An 18420-nucleotide genomic window follows, 5' to 3' on the forward strand; every position below is an offset into this window, starting at 1 on the left:
TTTACTATCTACCGCACAGAATCATAATGCAGAATAAATAAGATAAAAGTAAACTATTTTATCACACCCCTTTTCAAAGGACAAATGTTTGACCTTCCAGCAATGTAACAATCTGAGCTTATGCAAATGGGACATCTTGTAAATGCTTATAAACATAAAATGAGCTCAAAAGACTGTAATTTCCAGGACTAACGCCAAAACTGGAAATAAAAATGAGAATAGCAAGGAGACACTGAAAGCCCACAGTGATTGGGGACTGGGTATATGTGATGGCCAAATAGTGGTCGCAGGTGCATATGAAGTGAAAGAGCTCGGAGCAAGTGTCATGCCTGAATCTTAAACTTCAACTCCACTCACTTTCCTTGAACAGTACTGGGAAGCCTGGATGGGAAAAACAAGTCAGCCATGAGGAATTTGTTCCTTTGGCCCTTTCTCAGATGCAAATGTAAAATTTTCTTGTAACCCAAGGTACAGGAGACACTCATAGAATAATAAGTCACTGCTAAAGACAAACTCAAAAAATAATAAAAAATATTTCTACTATAAATATATCAAAACATCCCATCGAAGAGCATAAATTTATACAATTATTATTTGTCAATTAAGAAAATCTAGTGAGGAAAGCAAATGATGTTGCAAAGATGAGTGTTAATTGCATAGGAATTGGAAATACTAGAACAATTTAAAAATTTTAAAAAGGGTTAAAATGATGAAAAAGAGAAGTCAATTTTTTCCCTTTTTTTTTTTTTTTTTTTTTTTTTTTTTGATACAGAGTCTCACTCTGTTGCCCAGGCTGGAGTGCAGTGGCATGATCTCAGCTCATTGCAACCTCCACCTCCCAGGTTCAAGGGATTTTCCTGCCTCAGCCTCCGGAGTAGCTGGAATTATAGGTATGTACCACCACACCCAGTTAATTATTAAACTTTTAATAGAGTGGGGTTTCACCATGTTGGCCAGGCTGGTCTCGAACTCCTGACTTCAAGTGTTATGCTTGCCTCAGCCTCCCAAAGTGCTGGGATTACCGGTGTGATTCACTGTGCCTGCCAGTGAGAAGTAGATTTCAAGTAAAACAAAAGATTATGAAAAAGAAACAAGGGATTCGAAAATAAAGTCCTAGGAATGAAAAATAGGATCGCTAAAATTAAATACTCAATGAATGTACTAACAGCAGACAAAATACAGATAGGAACAGAATTGTACAGGGATTGGTATATTTGAAGAAACTATATCCAAAATACACTGTGAGAGATAGTATCTGAGCAGATACAGGACACAGAATGTAGAATGCACATATGCCCGTGGGGCTGGGCATGCAGGCTAACATGACCAAGCAACAATTGGCCCTGTGTGTCTCTGTGTGTTTGTTTCCAGTTGCTGCTGGAACAAAGTACCACAGTTTCACCAGTTTGTTCATCATTGAATCAACATCATGCTATTTGAATACTGTGATTTCATAATGAATCTTGTTGGTAGTGAAAAAATTTCAAATCTGTTCTTAAAATTCGATCAGGTTTTTTGTTTTTTGGTCTTTTTCATTTCCATATAAAATTTAGAATCATCTTATTGATTTCCCCAAAACACCTGCTGGATGAATGGGGTAAGATTGAATATGTCGATAGATTTGGGGAAAATTGACGTCTTTACAAATGAGTCTTCAATTCATGAGCATGGTGTGTTCATTTATTTAGTTATTCTCTCAGCAACAGTTTAGTTTTCAGTAAATCAAAGGGCACGTCTTTCAATAAGTTATCCCTGTGTATCTGGTTTTTTGCATGCTGTTGTGTACGGTATTGATTTTTATTTTATTCTTCAATTTTTAAAAGTAATATGTACATATATACCATATGAGTTTGCATCCACCAACTTTGCTAAATTCTTTAAAAAATCTTATCGTTGGAGTTCTTTTGGCTTTTCTATGTATGCAATCCTGTCATCTGTGAATAATTACATGATTACTTTTTTCCCAATAATTATACTATTTATGTATTTATTTTGGCCTTATTCCACTGGCTAGGTGTAATAGAGGTGATGAACATCTATGTTTTTTCTGATCTCAGGAAGAAAGCTTTCAGTGATTTCTCTATTATGTATAATGTTAGCAGTAGGTTTTTTCATACATAATATTTATCAGAAGGAAGTTCCCTTTTAGAGTTCATTTGCTGAGAATTATTTTTTAATCATGAAATGATATTAAATTTCATCAAATGCATTTTCTGCATGTCATTTCTCTCATTTATTCTATCAATGTGGCAGAAATAAAGCTATTAGTTGCCAATATTGAGACAATTGAGGAAATTTGAATATGAGCTGTGTATTAGATAACATAGTTAAAGCAATCTTAATTTTTTTCATTATGATGATAGAATTCTGTTTATGTAGGAGAGTGTCCTTGTGTCTAGGGTATACATGTTGAAATTTTTACATCTAAAACTTATTTTTAAGTACTTGTACAATAAATAATATCTATCTCTGTATTGAGGTCCATGAAAACACATACAAGTTGTATCTCTCTCTCTCTTGTTATTTCTCCATCTCTCTATCTATCTACAAATGTAGCAAAATGCTGACAGTTGGTGAATCTAAGTGAACTGTAAGAGTGCCTGGAGTATTCCTTTAATCTTACTATAGGTTTGCAAACAAAAGACGTTTGGGGGAAAATAAGGATAAATCAAATGCAGATTTAATATTGAACTTTTTACCCTTTTAAGTAACTGTACTTTATTTCCATTGCAAAGGTAATATTTATAAAAGCATTTGTATGTGAAACCCAAAGAAATCTCAATAAATCTAAAAACTGAAGTTAGAGACATAATTATCTTACCATATGAAATGAAATATAACTAAAAATTAGTTATAATGTTTAACTATAATACAAACACTTTTAAAGTTTAAGTGAAAACTTTAATTATTATTTAGAAATTAGAAACAGAGATAACCATATCACAACATACCAATTCCGAACAACCAGTAACCAGAGAAAAATTCACATCTTAAATATTTTATCTTGTTGTTACATAAGAAAGATTTAATAATGAACTAACATCCATTATATGCAATAAATATATACACCTATTATGTACTTTCATAAAAATTAAAGTTAAAAAATTAAAACACTCCATCCATTTTATGAATATACCACAATATGTTCATCTAGTCACCTGTTGACAGACATTTGGATTGATTTCAGTTTTGCTTATTACAAATAATACTGCTATGAACATCTGCATACTACTCATACGGGAATACATTTTTATTAACTTATTTTTGGCAAATACTAGGAGCAGAATGGTTGTGCCATGTGGTAGGTATATATTTAACCTTTTTTTTTTTTTTTTTTTTTTTTTAAGATCAGAGACGATCTTTATTTTTCTTTGTGCTCTATATATTTTTTTTTTTATTATACTTTAAGTTTTAGGGTACATGTGCACATTGTTCAGGTTAGTTACATATGTATACATGTGCCATGCTGGTGCGCTGCACCCACTAACTCGTCATCTAGCATTAGGTATATCTCCCGATGCTATCCCTCCTGCCTCCCCGCACCCCACAACAGTCCCCAGAGTGTGATATTCCCCTTCCTGTGTCCATGTGATCTCATTGTTCAGTTCCCACCTATGAGTGAGAATATGCGGTGTTTGGTTTTTTGTTCTTGTGATAGTTTACTGAGAATGATGATTTCCAATTTCATCCATGTCCCTACAAAGGGCATGAACTCATCATTTTTTATGGCTGCCTAGTATTCCATGGTGTATATGTGCCACATTTTCTTAATCCAGTCTATCATTGTTGGACATTTGGGTCGGTTCCAAGTCTTTGCTATTGTGAATAATGCCGCAATAAACGTACGTGTGCATGTGTCTTTATAGCAGCATGATTTATAGTCCTTTGGGTATATACCCAGTAATGGGATGGCTGGGTCAAATGGTATTTCCAGTTCTAGATCCCTGAGGAATCGCCACACTGACTTCCACAATGGTTGAACTAGTTTACAGTCCCACCAACAGTGTAAAAGTGTCCCTATTTCTCCACATCCTCTCCAGCATCTGTTGTTTCCTGACTTTTTAATGATTGCCATTCTAACTGGTGTGAGATGGTATCTCATTGTGGTTTTGATTTGCATTTCTCTGATGGCCAGTGATAATGAGCATTTTTTCATGTGTTTTTTGGCTGCATAAATGTCTTCTTTTGAGAAGTATCTGTTCATGTCCTTTGCCCACTTTTTGATGGGGTTGTTTGTTTTTTTCTTGTAAATTTGTTTGAGTTCATTGTAGATTCTGGATATTAGCCCTTTGTCAGATGAGTAGGTTGCAAAAATTTTCTCCCATTTTATAGGTTGCCTGTTCACTCTGATGGTAGTTTCTTTTGCTGTGCAGAAGCTCTTTAGTTTAATTAGATCCCATTTGTCAATTTTGGCTTTTGTTGCCATTGCTTTTGGTGTTTTAGACATGAAGTCCTTGCCCATGCCTATGTCCTGAATGATAATGCCTAGGTTTTCTTCTAGGGTTTTTATGGTTTTAGGTCTAACGTTTAAGTCTTTAATCCATCTTGAATTGATTTTTGTATAAGGTGTAAGGAAGGGATCCAGTTTCAGCTTTCTACATATGTCTAGCCAGTTTTCCCAGCACCATTTATTAAATAGGGAATCCTTTCCCCATTGCTTGTTTTTCTCAGGTTTGTCAAAGATCAGATAGTTGTAGATATGTGGCGTTATTTCTGAGGGCTCTGTTCTGTTCCATTGATCTATATCTCTGTTTTGGTACCAGTACCATGCTGTTTTGGTTACTGTAGCCTTGTAGTATAGTTTGAAGTCAGGTAGTGTGATGCCTCCAGCTTTGTTCTTTTGGCTTAGGATTGACTTGGCAATCCGGGCTCTTTTTTGGTTCCATATGAACTTTAAAGTAGTTTTTTCCAATTCTGTGAAGAAAGTCATTAGTAGCTTGATGGGGATGGCATTGAATCTGTAAATTACCTTGGGCAGTATGGCCATTTTCACGATATTGATTCTTCCTACCCATGAGCATGGAATGTTCTTCCATTTGTTTGTATCCTCTTTTATTTCTTTGAGCAGTGGTTTGTAGTTCTCCTTGAAGAGGTCCTTCACATCCCTTGTAAGTTGGATTCCTAGGTATTTTATTCTCTTTGAAGCAATTGTGAATGGGAGTTCACTCATGATTTGGCTCTCTGTTTGTCTGTTGTTGGTGTATAAGAATGCTTGTGATTTTTGTACATTGATTTTGTATCCTGAGACTTTGCTGAAGTTGCTTATCAGCTTAAGGAGATTTTGGGCTGAGACAATGGGGTTTTCTAGATATACAATCATGTCGTCTGCAAACAGGGACAATTTGACTTCCTCTTTTCCTAATTGAATACCTGTTATTTCCTTCTCCTGCCTAATTGCCCTGGCCAGAACTTCCAACACTATGTTGAATAGGAGTGGTGAGAGAGGGCATCCCTGTCTTGTGCCAGTTTTCAAAGGGAATGTTTCCAGTTTTTGCCCATTCAGTATGATATTGGCTGTGGGTTTGTCATAGATAGCTCTTATTATTTTGAGATACGTCCCATCAATACCTAATTTATTGAGAGTTTTTAGCATGAAGGTTGTTGAATTTTGTCAAAGGCTTTTTCTGCATCTATTGAGATAATCATGTGGTTTTTGTCTTTGGCTCTGTTTATATGCTGGATTACATTTATTGATTTGCGTATATTGAACCAGCCTTGCATCCCAGGGATGAAGCCCACTTGATCATGGTGGATAAGCTTTTTGATGTGGTGCTGGATTCGTTTTGCCAGTATTTTATTGAGGATTTTTACATCAATGTTCATCAAGGATATTGGTCTAAAATTCTCTATTTTTGTTGTGTCTCTGCCTGGCTTTGGTATCAGAATGATGCTGGCCTCATAAAATGAGTTAGGGAGGATTCCCTCTTTTTCTATTGATTGGAATAGTTTCAGAAGGAATGGTACCAGTTCCTCCTTGTATCTCTGGTAGAATTCGGCTGTGAATCCATCTGGTCCTGGACTCTTTTTGGTTGGTAAGCTATTGATTATTGCCACAATTTCAGATCCTGTTATTGGTCTATTCAGAGATTCAACTTCTTCCTGGTTTAGTCTTGGGAGAGTGTATGTGTCCAGGAATTTATCCATTTCATCTAGATTTTCTAGTTTATTTGCATAGAGGTGTTTGTATTATTCCCTGATGGTAGTTTGTATTTCTGTGGGATCGGTGGTGATATCCCCTTTATCATTTTTTATTGCGTCTATTTGATTCTCCTCTCTTTTTTTCTTTATTAGTCTTGCTAGCAGTCTATCAATTTTGTTGATCCTTTCAAAAAACCAGCTCCTGGATTCATTAATTTTTTGAAGGGTTTTTTGTGTCTCTATTTCCTTCAGTTCTGCTCTGATTTTAGTTATTTCTTGCCTTCTGCTAGCTTTTGAATGTGTTTGCTCTTGCTTTTCTAGTTCTTTTAATTGTGATGTTAGGGTGTCAATTTTGAATCTTTCCTGCTTTCTCTTGTGGGCATTTAGTGCTATAAATTTCCCTCTACACACTGCTTTGAATGCGTCCCAGAGATTCTGGTATGTTGTGTCTTTGTTCTCGTTGGTTTCAAAGAACATCTTTATTTCTGCCTTCATTTCGTTATGTACCCAGTAGTCATTCAGGAGCAGGTTGTTCAGTTTCCATGTATTTGAGTGGTTTTAAGTGAGATTCTTAATCCTGAGTTCTAGTTTGATTGCACTGTGGTCTGAGAGATAGTTTGTTATAATTTCTGTTCTTTTACATTTGCTGAGGAGAGCTTTACTTCCAAGTATGTGGTCAATTTTGGAATAGGTGTGGTGTGGTGCTGAAAAAAATGTATATTCTATTGATTTGGGGTGGAGAGTTCTGTAGATGTCTATTAGGTCTGATTGGTGCAGAGCTGAGTTCAATTCCTGGGTATCCTTGTTGACTTTCTGTCTCGTTGATCTGTCTAATATTGACAGTGGGGTGTTAAAGTCTCCCATTATTAATGTGTGGGAGTCTAAGTCTCTTTGTAGGTCACTCAGGACTTGCTTTATGAATCTGGGTGCTCCTGTATTGGGTGCATAAATATTTAGGATAGTTAGCTCCTCTTGTTGAATTGATCCCTTTACCATTATGTAATGGCCTTCTTTGTCTCTTTTGATCTTTGTTGGTTTAAAGTCTGTTTTATTAGAGACTAGGATTGCAACCCCTGCCTTTTTTTGTTTTCCATTGGCTTGGTAGATCTTCCTCCATCCTTTTATTTTGAGCCTATGTGTATCTCTGCATGTGAGATGGGTTTCCTGAATACAGCACACTGATGGGTCTTGACTCTTTATCCAGTTTGCCAGTCTGTGTCTTTTAATTGGAGCATTTAGTCCATTTACATTTAAAGTTAATATTGTTATGTGTGAATTTGATCCTGTCATTATGATGCTAGCTGGTGATTTTGCTCGTTAGTTGATGCAGTTTCTTCCTAGTCTCGATGGTCTTTACATTTTGGCATGATTTTGCAGTGGCTGGTACCGGTTGTTCCTTTCCATGTTTAGTGCTTCCTTCAGGAGCTCTTGTAAGGCAGGCCTGGTGGTGACAAAATCTCTCAGCATTTGCTTGTCTGTAAAGGATTTTATTTCTCCTTCACTTATGAAGCTTAGTTTGGCCGGATATGAAATTCTGGGTTGAAAATTCTTTTCTTTAAGAATGTTGAATATTGGCCCCCACTCTCTTCTGGCTTGTAGGGTTTCTGCCGAGAGATCCGCTGTTAGTCTGATGGGCTTCCCTTTGAGGGTAACCCGACCTTTCTCTCTGGCTGCCCTTAACATTTTTTCCTTCATTTCAACTTTGGTGAATCTGACAATTATGTGTCTTGGAGTTGCTCTTCTCGAGGAGTATCTTTGTGGCGTTCTCTGTATTTCCTGAATCTGAACGTTGGCCTGCCTTGCTAGATTGGGGAAGTTCTCCTGGATAATATCCTGCAGAGTGTTTTCCAACTTGGTTCCATTCTCCCCATCACTTTCAGGTACACCAATCAGACGTAGATTTGGTCTTTTCACATAGTCCCATATTTCTTGAAGGCTTTGCTCATTTCTTTTTATTCTTTTTTCTCTAGACTTCCCTTCTCGCTTCATTTCATTCATTTCATCTTCCATCGTTGATACCCTTTCTTCCAGTTGATCGCATCGGCTCCTGAGGCTTCTGCATTCTTCACGTAGTTCTCGAGCCTTGGTTTTCAGCTCCATCAGCTCCTTTAAGCACTTCTCTATATTGGTTATTCTAGTTATACATTCTTCTAAATTTTTCTCAAAGTTTTCAACTTCTTTGCCTTTGGTTTGAATGTCCTCCCGTAGCTCAGAGTAATTTGATCGTCTGAAGCCTTCTTCTCTCAGCTCGTCAAAGTCATTCTCCATCCAGCTTTGTTCCGTTGCTGGTGAGGAACTGCGTTCCTTTGGAGGAGGAGAGGTGCTCTGCTTTTTAGAGTTTCCAGTTTTTCTGTTCTGTTTTTTCCCCATCTTTGTGGTTTTATCTACTTTTGGTCTTTGATGATGGTGATGTACAGATGGGTTTTTGGTGTGGATGTCCTTTCTGTTTGTTAGTTTTCCTTCTAACAGAGAGGACCCTCAGCTGCAGGTCTGTTGGAGTACCCTGCCGTGTGAGGTGTCAGTGTGCCCCTGGTGGGGGGTGCCTCCCAGTTAGGCTGCTCGGGGGTCAGGGGTCAGGGACCCATTTGAGGAGGCAGTCTGCCTGTTCTCAGATCTCCAGCTGCATGCTGGGAGAACCACTGCTCTCTTCAAAGCTGTCAGACAGGGACATTTAAGTCTGCAGAGGTTACTGCTGTCTTTTTGTTTGTCTGTGCCCTGCCCCCAGAGGTGGAGCCTACAGAGGCAGGCAGGCCTCCTTGAGCTGTGGTGGGTTCCACCCAGTTCGAGCTTCCTGGCTGCTTTGTTTACCTAATCAAGCCTGGGCAATGGCGGGCGCCCCTCCCCCAGCCTCGCTGCCGCCTTGCAGTTTGATCTCAGACTGCTGTGCTAGCAATCAGCGAGACTCCGTGGGCGTAGGACCCTCCGAGCCAGGTGCAGGATATAATCTCGTGGTGCACCGTTTTTTAAGCCTGTCGGAAAAGCGCAGTATTCGGGTGGGAGTGACCCGATTTTCCAGGTGCCGTCCGTCACCCCTTTCTTTGACTCAGAAAGGGAACTCCCTGACCCCTTGCGCTTCCCAAGTAAGGCAATGCCTCGCCCTGCTTCGGCTCGCGCATGGTGCGCGCACCCACTGACCTGCACCCACTGTCTGGCACTCCCTAGTGAGATTAACCCGGTACCTCAGATGGAAATGCAGAAATCACCAGTCTTCTGCGTCGCTCATGCTGGGAGCTGTAGACTGGAGCTGTTCCTATTCGGCCATCTTGGCTCCTCCCCTGATATTTAACTTTTTAAGAAACTGTTCAACTCTTCTTAAGTGGTTATATCATATTTGCATTCCCACCATCAGAGCATGAGACTTCTAGTTGCTTTACATCCTTAGGGTCAGTTTTGTAAATTCTAGTCATTCTAATAGGTGTGTTATGGAATGAATATCACTGTAGTTTGAATTTGCATTTCCCTAATCATTAGTGATGTTGAGTATCTATTTATTACTCATTTGTCATTTAGTTATATTCTTTGGTGAAGTGTCCAAATATTTAGCACAACATTTTGTTAGATTATGTGACTTTTTAAACATTGAATTGTAAGAGTTTTATGAGTATTCTTGATACAAGTCCTTTTTCAGATGTGCAATTTGGAAATATTTTGTTCCAGTCTGTGACTTATTTTTTCAATCACTTACCATTGAGTGAAAGAGCAAAAGTTCTAAATTTTGATAAAATCCCGTTTATCTTTTTATTTCTATTTTTTTTTTTTTTTGCTTAGAAATCATGCTTTTAGAAGTCTTATGTAAGAAATCTTTACCTTGGGGGCGGGGCGGGGACAGGGGCGATCCCCACCCACATCCTGGCTGATTTAAAAAAAAAATCTTTGCCTCACCCAAGGTCAAACATTTTTTTCAATTTCTAAAATACTTTCAGATTTAACATTAAGGTCTATGATTCATTTTGAATTAATTTTTTTTTTTGCATATGGTAAAAGGTATGGAGTAAAGTTTATTTTTTTTTTAAATGGATATCCAATTTTTCCTGTACCATTTGTGGAAAAGGCTATTCTTTCTCCACTAATTGCCTTTACACTTCGCTAAATACGAATTAATCATACATGTGTATGTCTACCTCTGAACTGTATTCTGTTCCATTGTGATTTATCTTCTTGCCAATACCATACTGTCTTGATTATTATAGCTTTATATTTACTCTTGAAATCAGATAGTATGCGTTCTCTTTGTTCTTTTTAAAAGTTGTTTTGGCTATTTTATGTCCTGTGCACTTTCATATACATTTTAGAATCATCTTGTCAAATTCTACAAAAATATTTTGTAGATTGGATTGACTGTATAAATCAGTATTGAAGAGAACTGACATTTAACAACATTCAGTCTTCCAATCCATGAATTCATGAACATGACATGTCACTTCCTTTATCCAGGACTTCTTTAATTTCTCTTAGCATTTCTTTTTAGTTTTCAGTGTATAAGTCTTGTATAACTTTTGTGAGATTTATTCTTAAGCATTTCATATATTTAGATACTATTACAAATGATTGATTTTCCAGAAGATATATAGCTTATTGAATTATATTTTTGGGAATAATATTTTAAAATTTAAATTTCTAATCATTTATTGTTAGTATATAGAAATAGAATGGTTTTTGTATATTGATCTTGCTTCCTGGAACTTTGCTATACTCATTTAGTTTAAGATTTTTAAAATCTAAGATTACATTTATTGTCTTTTGTGTGTTTATATCTTTTTTTTTTTTTTTTTTTTTTTTTTTGAGACAGAGCCTTGCTCTGTCACCCAGACTGGAGTGCAGTGGCAGGATCTCGGCTTACTGCAACCTCTGCTTCCTGGTTTCAGCCTCCCAAGTCGCTGGGAATACAGATGTGTCCAACCACACGTGGCTAATTTTTGTATTTTTAGTAGAGACGGGGCTTCGCCATGTTGCCCAGGCTGGTCTTGAACTCCTGACCTCAAGTGATCCACTCGCCTCAGCCTCCCAAAGTTCTGGGATTACAGGTGTGAGCCAAGGCACCTGGCCAGATCATTGATATTTAATGTAATTGTTAATATCGTTGGAGCAAAAATTACCATTTTGCTTTGGGACAGCAAGAGCAGCCACTGTGAGGAAAGGCATGGACCTGCACCCAGATCCTTCTTCTCTATCTCCTCTGTAGAACAAAGTCCTTAATCTGCTGAGGAAAGGGCAGCACATTTGTGACCTTCAGGTCACAGATGAAGATCCAATGCATCTGGGGGAAGGAAAGAAAAAAGTACCCTCTACTCCTGGATGAGAGAAATATGTCCTGGGCCCAAACCATTAGAAACTTTCTATCATTGAGTGAGAGGCAAGTTCACCGAGAAGACCTTGTCCAGGAAATTCAGGGGCACAGTGTCTACCTAAGAATAAATCTGAGCAGCAACAACAAGGAATGCACATGCCATCTGCCAACAACTGGGGAGAATAGGGCTCCTGACAGCCACAGCCACAGGAAAATTCAGATCCTTTTGCAGACGCCTCTCCACAGACCTCACTAGGTGATCACAGGAAAGACTGGGGGCACGGGGAGATGCTGGAGAAAGCTCCTGATGAAGACATACCCGAGACTGGGAAGAAAAATAGGTTTAATGGACTCACAGTTCCACGTGGCTGGGGAGGCCTCACCATCATGCGAAAGGCTAAAGGCACTTCTTACATGGCAGCGGGAAGAGAGAATGAGAAAGAAGCCAAAGCAGAAAGCCCTTATAAAATCATCAGATCTTGTGAGACGTATTCACTACCATGAGAGCAGTATGGGGGAAACCACCCCCATGATTCAATTATCTCCCACCGGGTGCCTCCCACAACATGTAGGAATTATGGGAGAACAATTCAAGATGAGATTTGGGTGGGGACACAGAGCCAAACCATATCAGTCCCCTTTCTGATGGGGGTGTCTGTGTGCGATTCTCAGGAGTTCTGTACTCTCTTGCTATCCCACAGCAGGACTACAGTAATTTATTAAGAATTTTAGCTGAATTCTTCCTACTAGTTCGACCAGTTTCCAACCTCTTCAGACACACATGTGCTCACATTCTGTCTTTTATTTGAAGCTTTTGGATGTGTTGGTTGTCCCTGAGTTCCTTTCTTTGATGGGTTTTAAATAGTTGTGATTTTGCAAATTATCCAGCTTTTTTTTTTCCTTCAGTGGGAGCACACTCTTTCTAGTTTCTTACATTCTAAGCAGAAGCCAGAAGTTAGTAAATGTTGTTTGAATGTGTGTGTGTGTGTGAAATGATGTAAGGATGAGAGATGTCTTGAAATTGTACCTCATAACATATTTTACTCCCTAAAGTTACAAATATATATGAAACAATTCTATAATGGGAGTCTAAATATTTTAAACATCTAAACATTAGAATTTCTATAAAAGCTCTTTTCAAACAGTTGTTCCTGATTTTACAAAATGCTATGGCAATAAATGAAGCAGGATTTATCATAGTGGTGGTATTTGGTGATGGTGTAATCTACCCACAAGCAAGTGGCTGGTTAAATCAACTCAGTTCATTAGAGACTGACAAAGTATTGCCTTCTTGCTGGTGATGGAGTGGCTTAACAACTCCATTAAAATACTGCATTGCAACTGTGTGCACATGGTATATTCATTCTCCCTCTCTTGTCTTTATGCTCTTTTGATTTTAAGAGACATAAACTCTAGATACATTTTAATCTAGAATTGTTTCAGGTTCCAGATACTATGGATACGCAATATTGTACATTAAAATAAGAACCTACCTTGATATCCTTCTTAATTTACAATATTGTTACAAAGCTCAAAAGAAATGAATGTAATAGAAATGAAAGTACTTAGACTCCAAAATTCTATACAAATATAAAGGTTTAGGATAAGAACTGTCTAAACATAGTGGCTTTTTAGTTACAAAATTAACCATTCCTAGCAAAACAGCAAGAAAATGGACTGGAATCTTTTTCAGATTTCTAGTAAACTACAGGCACAGGAAGATTTCTCAGGTCTTCCAAAGATTGCTGCAAATAACACAGAGAAATTTTAGGAATTGTGTCTTTCCTCTGAAAAGATAGTTTCTTTGTTGAACTATCTATCTTTAAGTTAGACGTTAGCACAATGTTTTTTTTTTAATCATAGGTAGGCTTGAAGCCTAGTATATAAACATTTTATTTTACAGGAAGGAGTTAACCAAATGTAGGTAGGTCCAACAAGATGTGCCTTTATAAATAAACTAAAATGTCATTGTTGAGGTTACACGGTGAATATAGTTTGCTAGTCATAGGCAATTCCTGTCTTTCTTTGGTCCTTATGCTTTTCTGCTTTTAAGAGGCATAAGCTAATCTCAGACATAAACTTTATAAAATCAAAAATGATTGTTTGAAAAGAGCTCTTTTACAACAATTCCATGTCTCTTTCTCAGCCATCTACTTGATGTTAGTTGTATGGTACAAGAAGTATTAGAATACATTATAACTGACCTTAAGCTAGTCCACATTGCTGTGCTAGGCTTTATTTAATAAGAAACCTTAGCAAATCCATTAAATATTGTTTGGGACTATTTCTTAGTACTTTTAAGTGACCAAGACCATTGTATTAGCCAAACATAAATATAAAATCTGCAGTGATCAATAGTATTCGTGAGGAATTTCATACAAAGTAGCATAATTTTCTTTTTTCTTTTTGACAAAATCTTGCTGGAGTGCAGTGGCGGCAAGATCTCGGCTCACTGCAACCTCTGCCTCCCAGGTTCAAGTGATTCTCATGCTTCAGCTTCCCTAGTAGCTGGGATTGCAGGCATGCGTCACCATGCCTCGCTAATTTTTGTATTATCAGTAGAGATGGGGTCTTCCTGTGTTGCCCAGGCTGGTCTTGCACTCCTGGCCTCAAGTGATCCACCTGCCTTGGCCTCCCAAAGTGCTGGGATTACAGGTGTGAGCCACCGCGCCCAGCACAGTAGCATAATTTTAGAGAAGTTCATTCATAGCTGTCCCAGGAAGTAAGAAGGGAAGATTCAGGATAAACCATCATGTGACTTGCTCTCAACTGGATCTGGTAAAAATCGTCATTGAGCTCAGGATTGAAAGGAGAAATCATACAACATGAAGCCTGAGGAAGAATTGTAATATTTGTGAGATAAACTATTCCTCCATTCAGTATATACTGATTGAACACTCCTTTTATGGAAGTAGCGAATCGTAGGATCCTTTCCTCCTTTAACTAGCAACATTACCCCGGTTCCTTTGTCTCTCCTTCACTTGTGGTAATGGGCTAGTACACCACGATGCCCTTCCCCCCTCAACCATATTAACGAAGCTGGTTACATGTAGCAGCCTGTTCCAAAAGTTTACTCCATCCCTCTAACCACAGAGTTTGATTTAGAGGTAAATAAAGGCCCTAAACTTGACCAATGTGAACTCTTTCTAAGACTTAAACTATCACTTGGAGAAATACAGGGAGAGACACACTGAACTCTGACAACATTATTTAAGACTCTGGGTCCAGTGATGCCTATAACTAGATGCACTTCTGAATTTCTAATTTCTTAGGCCAAACTTTTCCATTTATTCTTAATCTAGTTTCTAGTTTTCTAGTTGGGTTATTGTCACTTGCAGCAAAAAGGTTACTAATAACTTATTATGAGTCAGGCATAGTTCTGGGTATGTACTGAAGAAATTATGGTGAAGAACATCCAGGCTTCATACTTGTGGGTGTAGTTGTAGACTTGGTGTGTATGTGTGCACACATGTGGGGGACCGATGTCCTAGGCATTGTGGTTTCTACAATCATGTTGGAGGAATGACCAAATATCATAGTCTACTGCTGAAACTCTTCATGCTTCTGATTCCTCCCCAATTCACTTGAGCTGCTGAATCTGAATTGATGAGGTATGTTTGCACTAAATACACATGTTTTCATTGCTTGTTTGATCAAGAGAAGGTCTCACAGGTCTCTCAGGTTTGATCATAAGCTACTATTAGGGAGTTTTAGAAAAATACCTAAAAGTATCAGTATTTAGAAAAATATTTGCATATGTGCAATAAACATCCTAACTTCTGTGACTAGGAATTGGAGATCAGGAAATATTGTGGGATGATGAGAACATAATCACCAGATAGAAAACCATGATGGAGGTGCTGAATGGAAAATTTTATTCTTTTATTTTTTAGACAGTCACACTCTGTTGCCCAGGCTGGAGTGCAGTGGTGTGATCTCAGCTCACTGCAAGCTCTGTCTCCTGGGCTCAAGTGATTCTCCTGCCTCAGCCTCCTAAGTGGCTGGGATTACAGGTGCACACCACCATACCCGGCTAATTTTTTGTATTTTTAGGAGAGACGGGGTTTCACCATGTTGGCCAGGCTGGTCTCGAACTCCTGACCTCAAGTAATCTGCCCATCTCATCTTCCCAAAATGCTGGGATTACAGGCATGAGCCTCTGTGCCTGGCCTTGGAAAATTTTATTATAATGGAAACATAAATAGGATTTAAAAGAAAAGGATGATGAAATTAGAAATATGAAAGAAAATAGGACAGATAGGAAAGTCATACCTAGAGGATTCAATCTAAATTGTAATCAGTACCCCAAAAGGAAAAATAGAACAGATGAGAGAATCAGAAGCAATAATTAGAGAAATAAGAGAAAAAACATTATCTTAAAAATGACATTAATCTAATAAAAAATGCTCATTCAGTGTTCAGCAAAATAATAAACATGAAACAACACCTAGAGCCATGCTTCCTGAAGTGTGTCCCAGAGACCAATATTCTTATTTGATATTCATCTGAAAAATGATTTTGTGGCCTGGAAAGTTTGGAAAATTTTACGTAATATAATGGCTTCTGAAAGATTCACATTGTGCATTTGCTAGTTAAGTGAGATAATACTAAGACAAACAAATCTAACATATTTTAACACAGAATTTACCTAACTTCTATGACCACTTTTTCGTGATAACACTAATAAAATGTGTCAGAATAGAGTTCCACAGAATTTATTTTGGTGAAACAATGACTTAGACATTTCCTGATTACATCATTAAATTTTAATATATTGATATCTCTATTTCTATCTATTTCAGCTCTATATCTACATCCTCAACTACAACTATTTCTACCTCTACATCTCTATCCCCATCTCTATGAATGCTTAAAATTAAAAAACTATAAATATTCATAAAATAAGAAATGAAATGACTATTTTCTAAACCAGTGAATTAAAAAAAGACATTATGAGTGATTTAAAAAAATAATTTATTGCATTTTACTCAGACTTGACACTAAATGTATATTAATGTAATAATTACTAATATAATAGTATATATTTCTATAATTGTTTATTTTTAAATTATATATTCTAGTATATATACATAATAGTATATATTTCTGTAATTATTGTTTATCTATAATTGTTTCTATAATTATTTCTATAAAAGAAATAATAGTATATATTTCTATAAATTGAAGTCAACATATTTTAGCAATATAGATAGTCTTAAATTTTTTTATATCCTTTAAGCCAGTGATTTTAATCCTGGAAATCTATTCTAATGACTTCATATGAAGAATGGACAAAGAATATACAAGAGAGTTCATTTAATCTTTAAAAATGAAGATACAAGTCATACAAAATGTTTAAAAAATTGCCTATTTGGAAACCATGTATCTGATAAGGGGTTAATATTCAGAATACATAAGGAATTCATATAACTTGATAGCAAAAAATCCCAAATAACCCAATTAAAAAATGAGCAAATAACCTGAATAGACATTTTTCCAAAGAAGACTTGCACACAGCCAACAGGTGTATGAAAAGTTGCTCAACATCACTAATCGTCAGTGAAATGCAAATTAAAACCACAACGAGATATCAACTCATACCTGTTACGATGGCTATATAAAAAAGACAATAGAAAACAAACGTTGGAGAGGGAACATTGTTGTACATTGTTGGTGGGAAGGTAAATTGGTACAGCCTATAAGGTAAACAGTATAGAGGTTCCTCCAAAAATTAAAAATAAAACCACTATATGATTTAGCAATCCCACTTCTGGGTATATATTGAAAGGAAATAAAGCAGTATTTTCAAGAGATATCTGCACTCCTATGATCATTACAGCATTAATTCACAATAACCAAGATATAGAAACAACCTAAGTATCCATTGATGGATGAATCGATAAAGAAAATATTTTATATATATGTGTGTGTGTGTGTGTGTGTGTGTGTATATATATACGTTCACACATATAATTCAGCTGTAAAAAGAAGGAAATCCTGTCATTTGCAACAACATGGAAGTATCTGGAGGACGTTATGCTGAATGAAATAAGCCGGGTACAGAAAAACAAAAACCACATGATCTCACTGATGTTTGGAATCTAAAAAGGCTGAACTCATAGAAGCAGAAAGTAGAATAATAGGTGCCAGGAGGTGAGGAAAATGGGAGATTTTGGTCAGTGGATATAAACATTACAAGGTGAATAAGTTCTGGAGATCTGATGTACAGTGTGGTGATTATAGTTAATAATACTGTATTATTTACTTGAAATTTGATAAGAGAGCAGATTATAAGTATCTTCACCTCTCTCTACCCTCACACAAATGGCAACTATCGGTGGTGATGAGTGTCTTACTTAACTGGCTATCGTAATCAGTATATTATGTATATGTATATCAAATAATCACATTGTACACCTTGAATATATGACTTTTATTTGCCAATTAAATATTTTAAAATTAAAAAATCCTTGTTTACATTTCACTATTATGTTGACTGAGTTTGTGGTGGAATTTTGAGAAAAGTATCCTTGCATATGAAATTATTGGTTTTAAAGTCTTTTTCTTCTCTTTTTTTATGACAGCAATACATGTCTACTGAGAAAAATTATGAAGAAAAAGATAAAAGTAGAAAGATGTGTCAATGCAAATATAACAAAGGATGCTACAAGGATGATTAGGTATTGTGCATATGCCAGGAAATATTTTTCAAATGAGTGAGTCAATAAATGAGAGAATAGGTTCTGGCTGACTCATGGTTTCAGTAAGCTCCTGATGGATTGAATTTATGGTATTTCAGTGCAAATTAACATTTAGCATTCCTTCCAATAGTTATCCTTTTATAAGCAGTTTCCTTGAAAACATTGTGACTATAAACAGCCCTCCTCAAAAAGCATATAAATTGCTTATGAATGAGGAAATGAATATTTTATTTGCTATAGAATTTTATGTTCAATAGTTTTGTGATAGAGTGAAGTTAAAATGGATGGTATGGG

General features: G+C 36.8%; 1 long non-coding RNA gene across 1 annotated transcript; it reads left to right on the plus strand.

The window, feature by feature from the left end:
* The first annotated feature begins 772 nt into the window (after positions 1-772).
* Positions 773-18167, plus strand: LOC105372152 (uncharacterized). Its single transcript, XR_935549.2, has 2 exons — positions 773-890; positions 18010-18167. It is a non-coding gene; the product is annotated as an uncharacterized LOC105372152 (long non-coding RNA).
* The last annotated feature ends 253 nt before the right edge of the window (positions 18168-18420 follow it).

The sequence above is a fragment of the Homo sapiens genome, chromosome 18 (assembly GCF_000001405.40).
Source record: "Homo sapiens chromosome 18, GRCh38.p14 Primary Assembly".
In the NCBI taxonomy this organism is placed as follows: domain Eukaryota; kingdom Metazoa; phylum Chordata; class Mammalia; order Primates; family Hominidae; genus Homo; species Homo sapiens.